At 49.3% G+C, this 21,545-nt stretch overlaps 2 annotated features.

Annotated features, from left to right (window-relative positions):
* Window positions 10,605-10,792: a silencer, noted in NCBI's record as "fragment chr16:86733288-86733475 (GRCh37/hg19 assembly coordinates)". NCBI's record gives its function as "represses an EF-1alpha promoter that drives an FKBP-Casp9 reporter gene in an ReSE screen in HepG2 liver carcinoma cells and K562 erythroleukemia cells {active_cell/tissue: HepG2 | K562}" and the evidence as "EXISTENCE:reporter gene assay evidence [ECO:0000049][PMID:32094911]".
* Window positions 11,054-11,961: an enhancer, noted in NCBI's record as "H3K4me1 hESC enhancer chr16:86733737-86734644 (GRCh37/hg19 assembly coordinates)". NCBI's record gives its function as "activates a minimal SCP1, AML or CMV promoter by ChIP-STARR-seq in naive H9 embryonic stem cells {active_cell/tissue: H9 hESC(naive)}" and the evidence as "EXISTENCE:reporter gene assay evidence [ECO:0000049][PMID:30033119]".

Raw genomic sequence — 21,545 nt, forward strand, 5'->3', positions numbered from 1 at the left:
AACTGATTTTTAACAAAGATGCAATTCAATGGAGAAAAAAAGAGACTTTTCAACAAACAGTGCCAGAGAATAGCACATAGGCAATAAAATCAACATCTATGTAAGGTTCACATCTTATACAAAAATCAATTCAAAATGTATAATGAACTTAAATGTAAAATACAAAACTATGAAACTTTCGGGAAAAATGTCTTAGGAATATAGGCCTAGGCAAAAAGGTCTTAAGACTTAACACCAATAGCACAATCCACAAAAGAAAAAGATTGATAAATTCAACTGCATCAGAATTAAAAACTTTTGCTCTTGAAAGATACTTTTCTAAGGATAAAAAGAAGATCCACAGAGTGAGAGAAAATATTTGCAAACAACATATCTGAAAAAGGACTAGTATCCAGAATATATAAAGAACTGTCAAGACTCAGTTAAACCAAACGATCCAATTAGGCAAAAGACATGACGAAACATTTCACTGAAGAGATTACACCGATGGTAAATAAGCACATGAAAAAACACTGAACGTCACCAGCCTTCACAGAATTGAAGAGAGTTAGGGCCTTGCTCCAGATTAGGCTTTGGCTCAAGGCAATGTTGTAGTTAGTTTGATCTTTTATTCAGACCGTAAACCTTTCACCATATCAGCAGTAAGGCTATTTCACTTTTTTATCATTCATGTGTTCACTGGAGTAGCACTTTTAATTTCCTTCAAAAGCTTTTACTTTGCATGCACAACTTGACCAACTGTTTGGTGCAAGAGGCCTAGTTTCAGCGTACCTTGGCTTCTGACATGGCTTCCTCACTAAGCTTAATCGTTTCAGCTCTCGGTGTAAAGTGAGACCTGTGACTCTTCCTTTCACTCAAACACTTACAGGCCACTGTAGGATGATTCCTTGACCTAATTTCAATATTATTATGTTGCAGTGAATAGAGAGGCCCAAGGATAGGGAGAGAGATGGGGGAAGAGCCAGTGATACAGTTAGAACACACAAGCCATTTATTGATTAAGTTCACTGTCTTATAGGGGCATGGTTCATGGTGCCCCAGAACAATTACAATAGTGACGAAGCTCACCGATCGCAGATCACCATAACAGAAGTAATCATAATGAAACGGTTTGAAATACTGTGAGAATTACTCAAATGTGACAGAGCCATGACATAAGCACGTACTGTTGGGAAAATGGCGCTGATAGACTTGCTCCATGCAAGGTCTCCACAAACCCTCAGTTTGTAAGAAACACAGACAGTAAAGCACTTAAATGCATAATAAAACAAGGGAGGCCTGCACACTCCAGTAAAGCTCTTTATTTTTATTTATTTATTTATTTAATTAATTTATTTATTTATTATTTATTTATTTATTTATTTATTTTAAGATGGAGTCTCGCTCTCTTGCCCAGGCTGGAGTGCAGTGACGCGATCTCGACTCACTGCAAGCTCCACCTCCTGGATTCATGCCATTCTCCTGCCTCAGCCTCCCTAGTAGCTGGGACTACAGGCGCCCGCCACTGCGCCAGGCTAATTTTTTGTATTTTTAGTAGACACAGGGTTTCACTGTGTTAGCCAGGATGGTCTCAATCTCCTGACCTCGTGATCCGCCCACCTCGGCCTCCCAAAGGAGTAAAGCTCTTTAAAAAAGAAAGAGTCTGGACAAGTAAATGTTGCCCTTTTAGAGTTTTTTGCTTTTCTAACAGAAAGAGACGTTAGAGACCGTCTAACCTCGTTGTTTTCCAACTGTGTTTCTTGGAACCTGAGGTGGACTATGATTTGCAAAGATGTCCGCAATCATACCCTGATGCCTGTAGGCTCTCCCACAACATGGTCTTGCCTCACCTGTTACTGAGAGGGAGATCTGTGTTCCCTGTGGTTGAATTTGGTGGCCCTTTGACCATCGATAGAATGTGGTGAAAGTAAGGCTGTGTGACTCCTGTGACTAGGTCACATGGGCCACATGTCTTCCACCTGGTTCTCTGGAAACTCTTGCTCTGGAGGAAGCCAGCCACCAAGTAAGAAATCTGACAACCCTGAGACCGCCATGCTGGAGAGGCCACATGTGGATGCATTGGCTGACAGCCCCTGCATCAACACCAGCCACGTGAGCAAGACACCTTGGACACACATGCGGCCTGTCAAGCCTCCAGCTGCCTGCAGTCCAAGCCAACACCTGGCTGCACTCTCTTGAGAGACTCCAAGTGATGATTGCCCAGTCAATCCCTCTCTAAATCCCAGCCCACCAAATCGTAAACAAAGTAAAAGGGCAATCGTTTGATAGCACTGATTTCTGGGGTAATTGGTTACGTAGCAATAGTAACCAAACTAGACCATGCCAGGGATCCCTGGAAGGCAGGGAGAGGGCAGGGTGAGAATCTTCATGGTGGGGGTTCTGGTAGCCTCCCTCCCTCCCTCCCTACTTGCTCAGGTGAGAGGAATTCGATTTGTTGGAGGAAAGTTCCCCTGGTCTCACCTAGCCCCTTCATTTTGGAGATCAGGATACAGAGGCAAAGCAGGGAAGTAATGAGCTGAGGTTTACAAGGCTAGGACGTGAACATGCCATTTCTCACCCTAGAATCTGGCAACTCCAAGTCCAGGGCTCCAATCTGAACATATCAGCTGGCCATTGGGAAGTTCCCAAGTCAATTCTGGGCTTTCTTAGTGCTCCCACTGTAATCTCAATAACACAGATGTTTTTTCCAATTCAAGTTGTGAATCTTAAAGCAAATCTGTCAATTAGAAGAGAGTCATCAGGTTCTGTAGTTAAGGTCTTCCAGTGCTAATTCAAGCAATCTGCTTTCCATCTAGCAGAAGCTACACCCCACATGTGTGTCCTGTGTGATTGTAACTTTGTTTTTAAAGCACTACCTGGGGAAGCATTTCTTATAAAAATTGTCGAAACAACGTAACACTCTCACCCACATGTATTTCCTTTCAGTTTCAACCCATCCAGTCCTGGCAACTCCTATAAGCATCTGCTGTGTTACTTTTTTCCTTCTTCTCCTTTAATGCCAGGGACCTCGTGCTGGGGACCTCGGTAGACCAGGAAGCCACAGTTGGGAATGCATTCAGAGACCATTAGTTCAGGAAGCACAGTGAAATCCAAAGAAACCATGAACCAGTGAGTTGGGAAACACTCTATGAAAGGCCTTTTCAGGCAGTTTCTTTCAGGAGGAGTTTGTTTTTGGATTAAAGGAGTTTATTCAGGTATTCACAAATACCCAGGCTCTCGGCAGCAGCTGGAACGTGGAAAGCCCTCAGTCATAATCAATGGCTGTAGAGCAGACTGGCATGTTCTGCTTGAGCAACACAAGGATGAAAGGGGCATAATTAGGGGACACGCCTTCAGAGGAGATGAAAGGCCCAAGACATCCTCAAAAACGGAGGCAAAATATACCCTGAAGTCACTAGTTTCTTTATTTTGGAAGTAGCAGTTCCAATAAAAGCCTAGGTGTCAAAGGCATTGGGATGCAGCCAAGCCTTGGACGCGGTTGCTTTCTTTCTTTCTCGCCCCTGCCGCTCTTTTCTCGCTTGGGGAAGAAAACTGATGGAAATGTCACTCCTGTATTTCCTGCACTCCTAGCAAATGGTGTAAATGCCTCGCTCCTTAACCGGGGACTCCAGGCTGAGCTGACACTTTGATGGGCTTCCAGGCGGGGTGCATGAGAGGACCACAGGGGTTAATGGAGTAGGTCGGATTTGAAATCTTCCCCCACATCAGATTCTTCAGGGTTTTCTCAGTGGCTCATTTGTATTTTGGAGTCAGCTGGTTACAAAACAGCGCCCTTCCTCTGCTTAGAGACCTGAGAAAGCTTAGGACACTTCACAGTCCTCTTGCAAGCTCCCTTGCCTTGGAAAATTCTTATTTCCTCATTCAATTCAATACAGAAGATGAGCTGGTTTTCATGAACAAGGGGTTTTGTGCTGAGGGCATTGAACAATCTATCCCACCCACCGTTCATTTTCAGATGGGAAGGGGAAGCCCGGCTGAGACTGGGTGACTTGCTCTGAGTGGTAGAACTAGAGCCAAAGAGAAATTTGGGAGAAGTTTTGACCCCCAGAAGAGTGCTTTTTCTCCTGTTTGAGCTGTTCCTTTTCCACTTCCCTTTATTTTTAATCCTTTAATGGACATACTCTGACTGTGTTCTGAGCACTCATTAACACATATTTAAATAATTATGGAAAAATCCGCATTTTATGCATCCTTAAGCACTTTGACCTCTGGGTTTCTGCAGCTGGGGTTTACGGAGCTTCACATATTTGGCACCTTTTAATCCCCGCTCTCACTGCTTCTTTTGCTTCTGTGGTCTTGAAGGAACCAACACAACACACCTGCCTTGTTGAGCTCAGTCTCCAAAACACTCGGCTTTTTCTTTTTCTTCTCCCCGCTTCCCCCCACCCTTTCCTGGCTGAAGTGGAGAGTGGAGAATGAATGTGCTATTGAAAAGCCACGTTGACAACACCACTAAATAAGGATTCCTCTTGGTTGGCAGAATTTTTCCAGTTTAGACCAGGGCTGCATGGAAGGAGATGGGAGGGTGTTCCTCGGCCGGCACAGTGATTGTAGCTTGAGGCAGAAGTTTCCACAAAAATGAAATCACGTTGTCCTACAGAATGCTTTTGGGGCCATCTATGTCATGCTCCTTTTTCCTTGGTTAGAGCTAATGGCATCATATTTCATGGTACAGATGGACGGTTGACTTCAAAACCAAGTGTCTACTGATGGGACAAATGGACATCTGGGTTGTCATCTATTTGTTTAATTTACTTAATTTTGCTATTATTGACAGCATCTGATAAACATCTTTGCATACAGGACTTTTCGGTCTAGTCTGAATATATTTACTCGCGACATATTCCTACAGGTGCTGTTCTAGAAAGGGTCTGTTCTCCTTACATTTGGACCTGTATTTCCAAGCTGGTCTTGAGAAAGGCGGGGGTGATTTTTTTTTTTTTTTTTTTGAGATGGAGTCTCGCACCCTGGCCCAGGCTGGAGTGCAGTGGCACAATCTCGGCTCACTGTCAGCTCCGTCTCCTGGGTTCACGCCATTCTCCTGCCTCAGCCTCCCAAGTTGCTGGGATTACAGGCACCCGCCACCAAGCCTGGCTAATTTTTTTTGTATTTTCAGTAGAGAGGAGGTTTCACTGTGTTAGCCAGGATGCTCGTGATCTCCTGAACTCGTGATCCACCCTCCTTGGCGTCTCAAAGTGCTGGGATTACAGGCGTGAGCCACCACTCCCGGCCGCGATTTTGAATTCTGCCATCAGCTTTAGAGAATGCTCGCCATGCCCTCTGCCTTCACCAGCACTGTGGTTCCTCAGGAAAAACAGCCTTCATCCATACAGGGTTGCAACGCCCCATCTGCTGGGGATGTGTTGCTTGACGTGAGACTCAAAGGCTGAAGAGGAGCGGTCCAGGCTGGGGAAGAGGGTTTCAGGTGGGGAAAAGAGTTGGACCTTGGCAGGGGAGCAGCAGGCAGGAGGAGTATTTACCCTTGTATTTACCTCCCCATGGTGCTCCCTTGGGCTGGCAGCATCCGTTGACTGAAGGGACACGTTGGCTGGCCCTCTCCCGCAGGTGCAGCTCACGCTCTGTGCCCCATGACAGTCACTCCCACTGCTGCTAGCCTGGGCTGCTTCTCCCTTGTTACGGATTCCTTTAGTCCCGGCCAAGCCTGTGTAAGTAGCTTGTTTATTAAACTCTCTCGATGGCCCTGTTTGAGAGCATCAGCTGTTTCTTCCTGCAACCCTGCCTGGCACAAAGGGATGATCACCATGATCCTTAATCATTTTACAAGATGAACAAATGTACAGTTCAACACAGCAAGACGACAAACAGGCAAACAAGAAAGATAACAAACATCACCATGCTTGAGAGGAAAAGAAGAGAGTGGAACTAACTGTGGGGGAGGACCTCATACACCCAAACAAGGCCTGTCAATAACTTCTGCTCCTCGGATCCCAGATCTGCCCCTCTCTGTATTCTTTATTGCTCATGATTGTTGAAGACATGACCAGCCAAACAACTGGCCAGGCAGGAAGCATGGTGGTCATCGAATGGACTCTGTTCACAGTTGGCGTTTGCATGACGAAATAGCGCTGTACTGGCCGAGCACAGTGGCTCACCCCTGTAATCCCAGCACTTTGGGAGGCCAAGGCAGATGGATCACGAGGTCAGGAGATCGAGACCATCCTGGCTAACACGGTGAAACCCCGTCTCTACTAAAAATACAAAAAAATTAGCCGGGCGTGGTGGTGGGCGCCTGTAGTCCCAGCTACTCTGGAGGCTGAGGCAGGAGAATGGCGTGAACCTGGGAGGCGGAGCTTGCAGTGAGCCGAGATCGAGTCACTGAACTCCAGCCTGGGTGACAGAGCAAGACTCCTTCTCAAAAAAAAAAAAAAAAAAAAAAAAAAGACACAGTGCTGTCTTCTACGGGCTCTGCATGGCATGTCTCTGGTGCTTCTGCTGTGGGAAATCTGTCCTGCTATCATATGTGCCCAAACCCACCAAGGATTATAAATGCTGAAGCGTAAGGGGTGAGCACAAGTTACTAGAGTTTTGTTGAAATATGCAATTACATGTTGTTATTTACTTAGTACTTGTCTTCAAATCCGCTCACTTTTTATAAGAATGCAGTTATCTTCAAGCCAAGAAATACTACTGCAAAATTAAGAGTTTTATGCCCTTAATGTGTATCTTAAAATCTTAACTTAACTTTAAATATGCAACTATCTTAAAAAGTCGGTGTATGACCTAAAACATCTTGTGTGTCAGCAGTTGGAACACTTACTGCATTGTAAAAAAACATCGCCTTGACCCAAGACAGGGGGAGGAGCCATTCGTATACCTGCGTATGACCTCAGGCAAGGCTCTTGATGTTTCTGGGACTCTTGTAAAATGATGGCAATAGTATCCACCTTGCAGCATTGTTATAATCATTAACAATTCATTGGACCATCTCTCCATGCATCCATCCATGCATCTACCCATCCATCCATCCAAACTCAATCTTGTTCCAAAGGGAACTGAAGTCTACTCACCGGCCCTGTATGCAGTAAGTCCGCCATGCATTGAAGCTACTAACCAGTGTCATCAATCTTATTCCAGCCTTCTTCAGCTTGCTGCCTTTGCTGGGGAAGTGCCCACTCAGGACAGCTGAGGAGACGGAGCCACGGAGGTTGACATAGGAGGTGATGGAACAGCCAGTTTTCCTGCTGAGCCCATCCGTATAGACAGCCGGCATGCATTGATGTGTCTCTCTCCCAGCTTCAACCCCTGTCTGCAGAGCTGGAGTCTCCGACTGTTCCCGCATGTCCCTTCTCTGTTGTTACCTGCAGTCCAGACAAAAATGGCATAGTAAAATAAAAGTTGAGAGAATGCACAAACTGATCTTTATTTTCTCCAACATCAAAGCGTGATTGATTTATTTATATTTATTTATTTATTTATTTTATTTTTGAGACAGAATTTCACTCTGTTGACCAGGCTGGACTGCAATGGCTCACTGCAACCTCTGCCTCCCTGGTTCAAGCAATTCTCCTGCCTCAGCCTCCTACATAGCTGGGATTACAGACGCCCACCACCACACCTGGCTAATTTTTTGTATTTAGTAGAGTCAGAGTTTCACCATGTTAGTCAGGCTGGTCTCGAACTGCTGACCTCAGGTGATCCACCCACCTTGGCCTCCCAAAGTGCTGAGATTACAGGTGTGCACCACCGCACCCAGCCGCATGATTTTTTTTCTTTCTGTTCTAGACAATTTGAAAACACGAATGAGAAGAAGAAACAGAATCCCCCTAATCCTAACTGCATCAAACACAGCAAGCACTTCAACATTCATCTCTGTGGACCCTTTCTTGCTAGGAAAGCTGGAGATTTTCCCTACATAATTATGCTTAAAAAAAAAAACCTTTCAAGTTTAGAATAGTTTTATATTTGCAGAGAAATTGTGACAATAGTACAGAGAAATACACCCCACACCCAGTTCCCCCTATTATTAACATCTTATATTAGTATGGTGGAACATTTGTTACAATTAATGCAGAATGAGACATTTTTATTAACTGAAGTCCATACTTGATGTTCTTTTTCTGTCCCAGAATCCCACATTGCATTTAGTCATTGTGTGTCCCCAGGCTCCTCTTGGCTGTGACACTTTCTGACTCTCCTTGTCTTTGATGATCCTGAGAGTTTTAACGAGGACTGGTCAGGCGTTTTGTAGAACGTCCCTCAATTTGATCGCCTGATTTTTTTTTTCTTTTTTTTTTTTTTTTGAGATGGAGTCTTGCTCTGTCATCAAGGCTGGAGTGCTGTGGCTCGATCTCGGCTCCCTGCAACCTCGCCTCCCAGGTTCAAGCAATTCTGCTGCCTCAACCTCCCATATAGCTGGGACTACAGGCACGTGTCACCACGCCTGGCTAATTTTTGTATTTTTAGCAGAGACATGGTTTCACTGTGTTGGCCAGGCTGATCTCAAACTCCTGACCTCAAGTGATCTGCCCGTCTCAGCCTCCCAAAGTGCTGGGATTACAGGCATGAGCCACCACTCCCACCCTGGTGTTTTTCATGATTAAACTAATCCGGTTTTTGGGAGTGACACTTTTTAAACCCCTTGTTTAAGTTTCTATTATGAAGGATAGGAGAGAAGAGCTGATAACTTTTGGGGATAGCTAAGAAGAAAGCATGTTGCTACATTTTTGCCTCCACTCAATTAGTGAGTGTAGTTTGAGGCCACCTGACTACAGGGCTGCCTTCTCTCCCCTTTCCCATCTCTAGGCTCCAGTCTCCACTGCCTGAAGGAAAGAAGCTTTTGAAACTTGAATCCCATCTCATCACTTCCTGGCTGAAAGCGCCGGCGCTGCTGTGGCTGTGGTCCTTGGGCAGGATTCCAAATCCTTCTTCTGAGCTTTCAAAGCCCTCATCTGGCTCCAGAAGTTCCTTACCCCTGGTCTTAGTTAGAGACAAAAATTTGGATGCAAGTAGTTGATTTGGGGTGGGATTGGTGATCCAGGAAGCAGGGGAGAAGGGGTGGGGTGGAAGGAAACTGTGAAAGGGCATGGGCAATGTCAGCAAGGGGGTCTCGTTTCTGCTGGAGACCCCCAAGGAGTGTGCAGAACCTCCTCTGAGTCTGCCAGCTCCTGTTCTTTGTGATTTGGGGATGCTCCTGGGTCATTACTGTCTGGATGTCCAGCCTGCTTCCTGTTAAGCAGGGTGGTGTTGGGGACCTGCCCCCTCCAGCTGTGGGGGCATCCAGGTGGGCCATGGGAGGCGGTGGGCCCCACAGCCTCCTTCTCTGATGGGCTTTCCTGGACACATTGGACACTGTCTTCCCACCACCCCACCTCCCGGTTAGCCTGGCCACCTTCTCACTCAAAATGCGTGGTCTCCAAAGTGGGTGCTTGTGGGTCAGACCACCTCAGAAGTGACCTCCAGGAGAGGGAGGTAAATAACAGAACTTCTACTTACATCTTTTTTTCATCTCAAAGTAAAAGAGACCAAGTCTTAGGAAGGCATTGACACCATGGCATGTATTCTGTGAGGTTTTCCTCCATTTGGAGGTGCTCTATTAAAAATGTAAGAGATTTTTTCCCTTTCTGAGGAGCACTCAAGAGGGATAGTGAAATAAACTAAACTCAGAACCAGATTCTTACATCTCTGTGTTAAAAAGTGTGAAAGATTTTCAAAACAACATTGTATCTGTAATCACAGTGCTTCTGAAAAAAAATGAGAGCAAAAGTTTTTTTACTGTTTATAACATAAAATGATACTTAATTATTGCTTTTTTGTATTTAGCATATTCTTTTAATTTTTTCTATTTTTGTTTTACAAAGTAGATGATGCACATGGAGGGCCTGTATAGAATTTATAATAAATGAGCATGGGTTGTGTGGCGTCAACATTTTTTACCTGATGGGAAGCAGATCAGGAGGGTTTGGACCAGGTTTAGGTGTAGCTGACACGCTGCTTCTTCCAGCTGTGCCCTGATTGTCCAAGTACTGGTTTGATAACTCGATGACGAGGTCCTACACTCCCTCCACCTCCCTCCTCTCCCATTCATGTTCCTAATCTCGACTGTGTTCCCGATGCCTTTGTTCTGTGTGATGTCATGGTCCCATAGCTTAGTGCTGATGAACAAATATCTTTTTATTTGGAGGCCCCTGAAAATGTGTTTTTTGTTTTGTTTTGTTTTGTTTCTCTTTTGAGACGGAGTCTTGCTCTGTCGCCCAGGCTGGAGTGCAGTGGCGTGATCTTGGCTCACTGCAAGCTCTGCCTCCCGGGTTCACGCCATTCTCCTGCCTCAGCCTCCCCAGTAGCTGGGACGACAGGCACCTGCCACCACGCCCGGCTAACTTTTGTATTTTTAGTAGAGATGGGGTTTTACCGTGTTAGCCTGGATGGTCTCTATCTCCTGACCTTGTGATCCATCTGCCTTGGCCTCCCAAAGTGCTGGGATTACAGGCGTGAGCCACCGTGCCCAGCCGAAAATGTCTTACTCCTTGGCCAGCTTGTAATCTCCACAACAAAAAGATGTAACTGTAGGAGATGACAGAAACTCCAGGACTCAGAGCAGGGTGCAAAGGTTACCAGGGGATATTCAGGGGATGATCGTAACCCACGGGGCCCGCCAACACCCTGACAGGTGGCCTCTGTGGGTTTGCGCATTGTAGGCAGACCTGTGGACAGGTGAAGAGGGCCAGGTTACTTCTCCTGCTCAGCGAGACTTCTCAGGGGTGCTCTTCGAGGGCCTCCGCTGTTTCTGGCTATAATGTTCTAGAGTTTGCACGTGTGCGGTATCACACGCACACATACACACACCATGCTCACATGCAGCACACCCCAACACACACCCTCTTTGTACAGTGAGCTCATTGTGAGTTGGTTGCCTTTCTGAATACTGAGCTCAACAGGGTTTTTACGAGGTCAGGTTTAGGGGATTTTATGTAACAAAATAAACTGAACATTGATAGAGTGAAATATCTTTCTTTAAAAGGCTGGGCTTAAAATGGCAAACGAAAACAAGACCGCACATCCTCAAAGTGGCAGAAGGAGACAGAAAATCAGCTTCCTGCATTTCTTGATGAATTCAGCTGCAGGACCTCAAACAGAGAGGATGAGCTTTTCTTTTCTTCTACATTTTTGTCTTCTCTTTTTAAAAATAAGAATGAATCATGCTGAGAGAGATTTCTCTACCAAGAGCTCTTCTACTGGATGGATTCCAAAGGAATGTCAACTCGAAATCTGGGCTCACTGGTGAGAAGGGGGCTGGTTGGGTGACAGCCTCCCATCCCATCCTTTTTCTTCCATTCCACCCGCCTGGGCAATTGCATGTGGTTCCAGCCCTTGGTCCTGGAGAAGAGCCCAGGGCGGTGTCAGGGGAGCTGCCATCAAACCTGCAGCCTCGTTCGCCGGTCTTCACCAGCCGTGCTGCCCGCCCCACCTGTGAAAGCAGGGGAGTGAGGCTGCCGGGAGGATGAAATGCGACGGCTCACAGAGGTCGCAGCCCACGCCCAGCTGCGGGAGGGCCTGTCGAGTCCCCGATCAGGAAGGCCCACGTCCAGATGCCTTGGAGATGCCCCGGGTTTTCATCTTGGAGGCATCTCAGATGTAAAATGGCCAAACGGGCCCTCTGGGCTCTGCCCAGGCCTGCTCTTCCTCTCCTCCTCCATGGCTCTGAAAAGGGCACCCCACCCTCCACCTCCCAGAGTTGTCTTTGTTGAACTCCCCCGTCCAGCCCTCCTTGAGTGTGGACCGTGCAGCCTTCCATGGGCACCCAAGAAGCTCCACAGCCTCCACACCTGAGCTAAGCTCCATCCTCTCCTTCCGGAGGACAGAGCCAGCTGCTTCCCTCGTCCCCCGCCACCTGCAGTCCCCGTCCCACCGTGGCCTGGGTCATGGCTTTCCATCACCCTTGGAATCGAATCCAGAGGGCTTCTCTGGGCTCCCACAGACGTGCACGATCCAGGACCTGCTCCCTTGCTCCGCTTTTCCCCTTCCCCTTCCCGCCCCCCATGGCCACCCTGGCCCTCTCTGTCCTCCTGACCTTCCGCAGGGGTTCCTGCACCCATGGTGTTCCCCCCTGTCTGGCAAGCTCTTCCCTGGTAGCTTCTTCTGTCCTCAGAGGGGTCTTTCCTGAGCAGCCAATCGAAGCCTCACCCCATAGTCTCCCTGAGTTGATTTCCCGTGGTTCTCAGCGCCCTCCGAGGCCATCGCACTAATTTCCTCATTACCCACCCCCACCCTCACAAGCTGGGAGGGCACGGACCCGCCCCATTCTGTTCCCTGATGTACCCTCTGTGCACGCACCCTGCGGGCATGCAGCAGGTGCTCGGAAACGCCGATGGAATGAACCAGCGCGCATCACAGAAAGAGCTAAGGGACCTCCACACCTGCTCCTGTCGGAAGACGGTTGGGCGGCAGACACAAAAGGAGGCAGAGACCCCACCGCAGCCTCGGGTCCTGTTCCTCAGGCCAGGACGCCCCACTCCGGGAGACCATATGGAAGACCGGTGGCCAGCACTTTGGATGCGGTTGAAGACAGATGTGCTTTTCGCGTAAGTGCTTTGAGCGCAGAGTTTCCCTTCAAGCCCTGACTCCCTCTTTGGTACAATGGGGAATCGTGACCGCCTTCTGGGGTGAGGCTCAGGTGATCCTCAAGTCTTGGATACCTACAGATTCAGGGATCTGCAGGCCGGCCACAGCCAGCAGGCCGGGGTTGTTCCCAGCACGGCCGCCCGCATTCTGCCTCCTCCAGAGTGAGTATCCGGGCAGTTTCCTGGGGAGACCTGGGTTCCCATTTGTATCACAATGACAACAGCTAGTTTCTGGCACCTAAAGCAGGACCACAGCTTCATAAAACTACCTCTTCGATAATAGAGAGGAGAGAGGGATAAATACTTCAAAATGGTGTTCCAGGACAAGATGACCAACAGGTTTTGAGAACGGAGGTTTCAGAAACTATCTGAGCCAGGCACGGTGGCTTACACTTACAATCTCAGCACTTCGGGGAGCTGAGGTGGGAGGATCACTCGAGCCCAGGTGTTCAAGATCACCCGGGGCAATAACAAGACCTCAGCTTTACTAAAAATTGTAAAAATATTACCCAGGCATGGTGGCACATGCCTGTCATCCCAGCTTCTCAGGAGGCTGAGGTGGCAGGATCACTTGAACCCAGAAGGTTGAGGTTGTAGTGAGCTGAGATTGCACCACTGCATTCCAGCCTGGGCAACAGAGTGAGACCTTGTCTCGAAAAAAAATAAAAAAAAAAAAACAAGCAAAGATTCCATGTCACACCGATTAGGACGGCTGTTCTGAAAGAGGCAGGGAATAACACATGTTGGCAAGGACGCAGAGAGGACAGAATCCTTGTGCACAGTTGGCGGGAAAGGAAAATAGTGCAGCCACAGTGAAAAACACTCTGAGGTTCCTCAAAAAATTAGACAGTTGCCATATGACCCAGCAATTCCACTCTTAGGTATATACCTACAGGAGCTAAAAGCAGAGTCTTGGGATTTTTTTTTTCTTTTTCTTTTTCTTTTTTTTTTTTTTTTGCAATGGAGTCTCACTCTGTTGACCAGGCTGGAGTGCAGCAGCATGATCTCAGCTCACTGCAACCTCTGCCACCTGAGTTCAACTGATCCTCCTGCCTCAGCCTCCTGAGTAGCTGGGACTGCAGGTGTGTACCACCAGGCCTGGCTGATTTTTTGTATTTTTAGTAGAGACGGGGTTTCACCATGTTGGCCAGGATGGTCTCGAACGCCTGACCTCAAATGATCCACCTGCCTCACCCTCCCAAAGTGCTGGGATTACAAGTGTGAACCACTGCACCTGGACTTGGAGAGATTTTTGCATACCCACATTCAGAGCAGCACAATTCACAATAGCTAAAAGGTGGAAGCAATCCAAGTATCCGTTGACAGATAAATGAGTCAACAAAATGTGGTCCATCCATAGAGTGGAATATTACGCGGCCTTAAAAAAGACGGAAATCCTGACCCATGCTCCAACATAGATGAGCCCTGAGGGCATTATGCTCAGTGAAATAAGCCAGGCACACACACCCACACACACACACTCCCACACCCCCACACCCACACACACACACCCCCACACACACCCCCACACCCACACACCCACACACCACACACACACACCCCCACACCCACCCCACACACCCACACACCCACACACCACACACACACCCACACACACCCATACCCACACCCACACACACCCACACACCCACACCCACACCCCACACACACTCACACCCCCCACACACCCACACACCCACACACACACCCACACACCCCCACACACATAACCACACACCCAGACACACCTCCCCACACACACACACCCACACACACACACCCACACACACACACACAATACTGTACAACTGCACATATACGAGGTGCCTAGAGTAGTCAGATTCATGGAGACAGAAAGAATGGTGGGTGCCAGGGCTGGGAGAGGATGCATGGGAAGTGTTGACTTAGCGTTTAATGGGACAGAATTTCAGTTTGGGAAGATAGAAAAATTCTGGAGATGGATGGTAGTGATGGATACAAAACAATATGAATAAAAATGGTTTAAACGGTGATAACAAGTATATTTTGCTGCAATTATATAAAAGTCTGGCAGCCACTAGCACCTGTGTAGGGTGTCACCCTTGCCACCTTCCACGCGTGTGGAGCCCGCCTTGCAGAGGAGGAGTTATGAAAGGAGACAGGTAGATGGGGCAGGTGCTGGGTGCAGGGCCAGGCTGGGCCGGGCCCTGCCTCTGTTCCATCTGTCTGCAGCCCAGGTGCCATCTTCAGAAAGCCCAAGGTCACCCCGGGGACAGGCTCCTCCACACAGAGTCTTGCAGCTGCCAAGGCCTCACCCCCAGAGACACTGGGAAGATAAGAAGAGGTGTAACTTCACCTGAAAGCTGCCAGGGCTCAGACGCACTTCAAAGGCAAGACTCTGGGAGGAGGCCCCGGAGCAGGAAGAGGCGTGAAGGGGATGATCGTGTTCCACCAGAGTGAAAAGGGCATTGCAGGGAGAAGCTGATGGGTTCATGGGGATGGTAACTGTCTCCCTGGAAGCCCCAAGAGGGTGAGGTGAGCTCTCAGAGCTCAGGGGAGGTGAGTGAGAAGGGCCCCTCAAACCCCAAAATCCAACAGCGGAAGCAGCAGGGCGGCAATGCAAGGGCCCCAGGTGGAAAGTGTGCAGCCTGCCTCCTGGAAAGGGCATGCAGTGCCCCGGGAATTCCACGCACATTCCAGGAAAAAAGAATGAGGATGAGAATCAAAATCCCCCAGCGGTAACTCTTCCTGCAAAGAAGTAAACCCCCAAATTTCCTGAAGGTGCCCCTCGCCGCCAAACTCAATGCCTTCTCACTAAATGGCAAAGGAAAGTAGGATTTCTTCTCTTGGATTGGATCTTAGTTTTTTAAAAATGCACCTTTGGAAACAAACTCTAAAAGCATCTCAGGAGGGCCCACTCCTCCCGGGAAGCAATCCTGATTTTACCAGGGATGCTCGCAAGACTGCAGGGCCCTATTGCTCCTGCTGCCCCGACCCCTGACCAGCGGGGACAGGAGCTGGTGGGCACCTTCAGGAAGTCCAGGTGGGGGAGCCCAAGGTGCTGGGATGTGAGGGACAGACAATCACTGCCCTCATGGAGCTGTTCACACAGCGGATGAGGTTGACACAATCCAGAGGGAGCACCCAGTAATGGGGGTCCCGAGTTCAGAGAGCAGAGGGCTTCCTGGTGGAGGTGACACTGAAGCCTAGAGCGGAAGGGTGGTAATGACCAGATGAGGAGCTCACTCTCTGTTTCGGGGGTGAGTGTTGAGAGAGGGAGAACAGCAGAGGTAGAGGTGAGATGGGGTTGGGGTGTAGTAGGGCCCACTGATGGCTTCAAACTGCATGGGTCTTGAGGACCCAGGGAAGACTTGAATGGTTTAAACAAAGAAGAGAATTGGTGTTGGATCATTCAAAGCCATGCTTAACTCTGTGAAACACTAAGTGGTTTAACCTTTCTTTAAACCCTGCTGTGGCCAGGCGCGGTGGCTCACACCTGTAATCCCAGCACTGTGGGAGGCCGATGCGAGTGGATCACCTGAGGTCACAAGTTTGATTCCAGCCTGACCAACGTGGTGAAACCCAGTCTCTACTACAAATACAAAAATTAGTCAGGCATGGTGGTATGCGCCTGTAATCCCAGCTACTTGGGAGGCTGAGACATGAGAATCACTTGAACCTGGGAGGCTGAGGTTGCAGTGAGCTGAGATTGTGCCACTGCACTCCAGCCTGGGCGATAGAGCGAGACTCCATCTCAAAATAAATAAATAAATCAACCTTTGCTGAGCTGCAGGACGTGGACTGGGTGGGGGTGGGAGTCAGGGAGCCCCGTCCAAACTGTGGGATGGTCCTGGACAAGGCGATGCAGCATGGCCCAGGGTCCTGGCAGTGAGATACAGAGGTGGACCAGACTGAGAGAGGCTTGGGGGAGGGGCTTCATGAGTCTTCCCTAAAGTGCCTGATAGGGTTTGGCTGTGTCCCCACCCAAATCTCATCTTACATTGTAGCTCCCGTAATCCTCATGTGTCATGGGAGGGACCCAGTGGGAGGTAATTAAATCATGGGGGTGGGTTTTTCCCTTGCTGTTCTCATGACAGTGAATAAGTCTCACGAGATCTGATGGTTTTATAAAGCACAGCTCCTCTGCACATGCTCTCTTGCCTGCCGCCATGTAAGACATGCTTTTGCTCCTCCTTTGCCTTTTGCCATGATTGTGAGGCCTCCCCAGCCATGTGGAACTGTGAGTCCGTTAAACCTCTTTTTCTTTATAAATTACCCAGTCTTGGGTATTTCTTCATAGCAGTATGAAAATGGACTAATATATGCCTTATCGGAATTTTAAATTTTTTTTGGCCAATGTCTGCATTCTTTCTTAGAAAATGGGCCAATTTTCTAAAATATCATGTCTTAAAAAATGAGTCATGAATTCTGGAAGAAAAGGGAGGCGATGTGGGCAAAAAGAACACGCTAAGACCTAGGTTCGAGTCCCATCTCTTCTGCCAGAGCTTTTGTAAGGATGGTGCTTGGGAATGTCGAATTAATCACATCACCTCTCCTCTAGGATAGAAAACCACAGAGCACAGATTCGAGGAACCACGAGGATCAACGTCCAGAACCCTCTTTGTTGCTGGGGAACCTAGATCTTGATCTGTAATGGCCCTGACCTCACCAGCCAGCGGCAGGCACACACGCCCCTGCATCCTCCGACCGTGGATGCCCCTGGCTGTGTGTTAAGGTGGAACTCCTGGCCCAGGGAGCACCAGGCTGACCTGCCAGATAAGCCACCCCTCCTTCCCCATGGGAAGAAGCCTGTGAAGCCTGAGGGTGGCTGGAGGCCAGTGCTGCAATTCCTAGCGTGTGTGCTCAAGAGAGGAAAGTGGACATCCCTGCATGGGAGAACAGACGGAGTGGTAGGGTCCCCAAATAGTTGTGCCTTACCTCGGCGATTCTGATTTGGCATCTGTGTGTAGCAGGCTCCAGGGGGCATTTTGGGGGTACAGCCATGTAGGTATGAATGGGGTGGTTCAGAGAGCCGTGGCTGCAGCAGGAGCTTGGCCCTGTGACCGGGGAAGCTCCTCACCTTTCTCATCCTGTGTCCTTAGGAAGACAAGGTGAGTGAAGTTTGACCTTCCCATTGTGAAGGCCAAGGTCAGTTTGTAACCCACTGAGTCTGAGGCAGCACTGGGGGCTGAACAGACCTGTGGGAGGCAGTGGGAGAAGTAGGGGCTGCGCTCCAGAGCCAAGTGGCAGCTCGGGAGGACTCTGGCTCATCGGTGTCAGCTGATGGCTCCCCAGATGGAGAGACAGTCTGGGCCTGGAGTTGGGCAGCCTGGATTCACATCCCACCTCCGCCCCATACAGGAACCACTGTAGGAGCTGGGGGCGGGTGATTTCACCCTGCTGGCCTCAGTTTCCCCAACTGTAAGTGAGGAATAAGAGCAACATCCACTTCCTGGAGTTGTGAGGAGCACATGAGCTGCACGCGGAGTGGGCCTCGACAGCTATCAACCCCGTAGTTCCCCTTATTGATCAGCACTGTGCGGAATATTCTGGAATCGAGAGATATTAGAGTGTAGGAGGAAGTGTGCAGCCCGGCGTGGCCTCGTCAATTTTGAGTGGGTGCCACAAGCACCTCTGATTTAACTCTGCGAAACACTAAGGGGTACAACCTTTCTTTAAATAAACTCCCTACTCCACTGCGGCATGCTCCTGAATCCGTCCTGGCTTCGAGCAGAACCAAGTGAGCGCCGTCCATTCATGCCCTTCGTGGAGTGCGTGACTGCAGTGATACCTCGAAGTGTCAGATGTGAGCGTAGGGCTTCGAGAGACAGCTGCTGACATCCTGGCTCGATAAAGACGCTGCCTTTTGGGTTACTCAGTTACTGGAATTTTCCACCTTCTGCCAAAGCCTGTCAAGTCAGGACACATCTCATTTGAAGAAAGCAAGGGTTTTACAGGAAAACGCCAACGCAGCCTTTCATGGGCATAAACAAGGGCCACTGTGCTCTGGCATACCTGTGGACCGGCGACGTGGCCTGAGAGCCATGCGTGTTCACAGTGCTCCCTCTTTTCACGCACAGAAACTTACTGGAAATCCAGATATGAAACAGTGCAATCCCAAGGAGAGGCTCGTGGATTGCAGGCCGTCTACACCAAATGCGCTCTGCACGGCCCCGTGACGGAAACCCAGGCTGCTGAGTCAGACGTGACCGGAGAAGACAGCCAGCGTTCAGGGACCCGATATTCAGGGAGTTGTGGGCTCTAAGACTCGTTCTCCTGGGTCGGAGGATTCTGGCAAATGACTTCCACCAACGCCATTTGAATTTCCCATGTCTTTTATCACATCTCATACTCTACTTTCTGTCATTAGATTCTTATTCCACGGCTGAATGAGACACTTCTACACTGAAGTGTATGGACTCTGATTTCGGAAGGCCAAGTACAAAGCAGACAGGCTTTATGTGAGCAACATAAACACTGATGTTCCTTAGGGTCCCATTTTCACTGAAGCTCACCCTTCTCCTCCCAGCCATCCCTGCTTTCTGGACATTTTGAAGGCCATGATTGAAAGCTGCAGCCACTACCAAAGAGAAATGTTTCACTTAACGATGTCCCAGCGAAAAGTGGTGGGAAATCTAGGTACAGTGTTAACACGACTTTTAACGCTCTCTCGTGAGAGGCACAGACACAGTGAGCCCAGGTGAGTTCAGGGCCCTAATGATGTCACCAAGGCCCAGGTGTGTCCAGACTCGGTGTGACGGCACTTCGTCCTCAGGCTATAGGAAGGGGCCGCAGACTCGAGCATCTCAACCTCTCAAGACAACATCCAAAGCCAGCGTGGGGCAGGGGGCCTGTCTTTGCATTTTCCGGAAGGAGACTTCCCCTTATGTCGACTTGGGCCAAAAGACCCTTCCTCAGTGGACCCCTGGACCCCACCATAGGTGCCGTGGTAGCTCCCCTGCCGTGCCTCTGGACCCCTGTGACTGGATGCGTTACCTGGCCTCCTGCCATGGGTGCTGTGGTAGCTCCTGGAAGAGGAGCATGTTGCATTTGCAGCCTGTGTCACGGGAGGCCGACTGTCTGTGTGCAAGAACGGAAGGGCTGGCTCTGGGGAGACGACTCATGCCATCTGCTGTGGGAAGCCCCTGGTGGGGATTCTGATTGGAAAGCTGTGGCTAGACCCCAGGGCCATCTGAGGACAGGGACAATAGAGCTGGGCTGAGATAGGCTGTCTGTATTTCTCACAGTGTTCTAACAAGTCAGGACCAGACCTGGAATCCGGGTCTCCCATTTGCTGACTTCTTGTCAGCAATTCCCATATTTTCCCCAATTCGGTTGACTGCAATTCCCATAAAACCTACAATATAATCATAGTGGAGCATTGTGAAAAGCAATTCAGGGAATTGCTTCCTCTCTTCCTTCCTTCCTTCCTTTCTTCCTTCCTTCTTTCCTTCCTCCTTTCTTCCCTCCTCTCCTCTATCCATTCTTCTCACCTCTCTCCCTCCATCTAATTCTTTCAATGTTTAGAGTAGCCATTTGACCCAGTTCTGCCCAATGAGACATAAAAAGTCTGTTTCTGGGGAATATTTTTCCTCCTTATGTAAGGGAGAGACATTCAAAGAGAAGAAGTCTCAGAAGAGGACGTGATGCTTGGAGCTGCAGCAGCCATGTTGCAACAATGAGGCAAGATCCCTGGGGATGAAACGTTCTGAGCCTTGTGCTGGGGACACACAATGAAAAACAGGCACTTTCTGTTCTCCTAGACTCCAAATTCAGTGCAAGAGACAGAGATAAACAGCAATTACAATCTTGTGTGAGTCACTGTAGGGGAAGTACTGGGAGGGAAATCAGGGGCAGTTTTGGGGGCGGTGAGGTCCATGCAGAAGCTCGGGGAGGAGGAGATGGTAGCAAGAGAAGAGCGGGCAGAGGGCACAGCCTGAACAGAAGTGGCATCAAGCAAGCTGACTTCATGTTGGGGGAGTGGCAATGCCTTCAGGGTGGACGCAAGGGAGACCCTTCGGGGAGAAGCAGTGAGCAGTGAAGCTGGAGAGAAGCAGGGACTGGATGCGGAGGACGGTGGTTCCCCACTCCTTCAGGATCAAGCCCCACTCTGCTCTTTTCTTCCACCCATGCACTGGATATGTGCATCCCAGCCCCAGGCCCAAATCTTTAAGGTGCAACAACATAAACTTGTCTGAATGTTAAGGTCTGTTTTCATTTAACCGATCCTTCTGAAAAGTGTAAAGTTAGAGATCTGATGCAATGATATTCCGTTTGAAAAATCCCGAAAGGCTAATGATAGGGTTTGGCTCCGAGTCCCCACCCAAATCTCGCCTTGAATTGTAATAATCCCCACGTGTCAAGGGCAGAGCCAGGTGGGGATCACTGAATCATGGGGGTGGTTTCAGCCATGCGGTTCTCGTGATAGTGAGTGAGTTCTCACGAGATCTGATGGTTTTAAAAGCATTGTCTGGCATTTTCTCTGCTGGCGCTTCTTCTCTTGCCTGCTGCCGTGCAAGACACGCCTTTCACCTTCCGCCGTGATCATGAGGCCTCCCTAGCTACGTGGAACTGTGAGTCCATTAAACCTCTTTTTCTTTATAAATTACCCAATCTCGGGTATGTGTTTATCCGCAGCGTGAAAACGGACTAATACAGCTTCTTACAAATGCACTCACAGAGCAGAGTGCCTGCCCCCCGAGACGGCCTGGTAGCGGCTCCTACGGAGTCCGAGGTGGCCTTTCTGCCTGTGCCTCCCCACCAGGGCCCTCCGTAAGCACTGACTGGGGTTGGGCAGAGGGCGCTGCAGCCTCGCTCGTCACCCAAGGCGGGCAGAGCCTCCTGGCCTCTGATAGCGGCTCTGCACTCCTGCGTCCTGTTCTCCATGGTCTGGGGATGACCAGAGGAGGACGACCAGCTCCTCCCTGGCCACCCCTCCTGGCCTCTCCCTTGCTAAGGAAGGTCAGGCCGTCCAAGGCGGGTAGGGAG

Source organism: Homo sapiens, chromosome 16, assembly GCF_000001405.40.
Source record: "Homo sapiens chromosome 16, GRCh38.p14 Primary Assembly".
Classification (NCBI taxonomy): domain Eukaryota; kingdom Metazoa; phylum Chordata; class Mammalia; order Primates; family Hominidae; genus Homo; species Homo sapiens.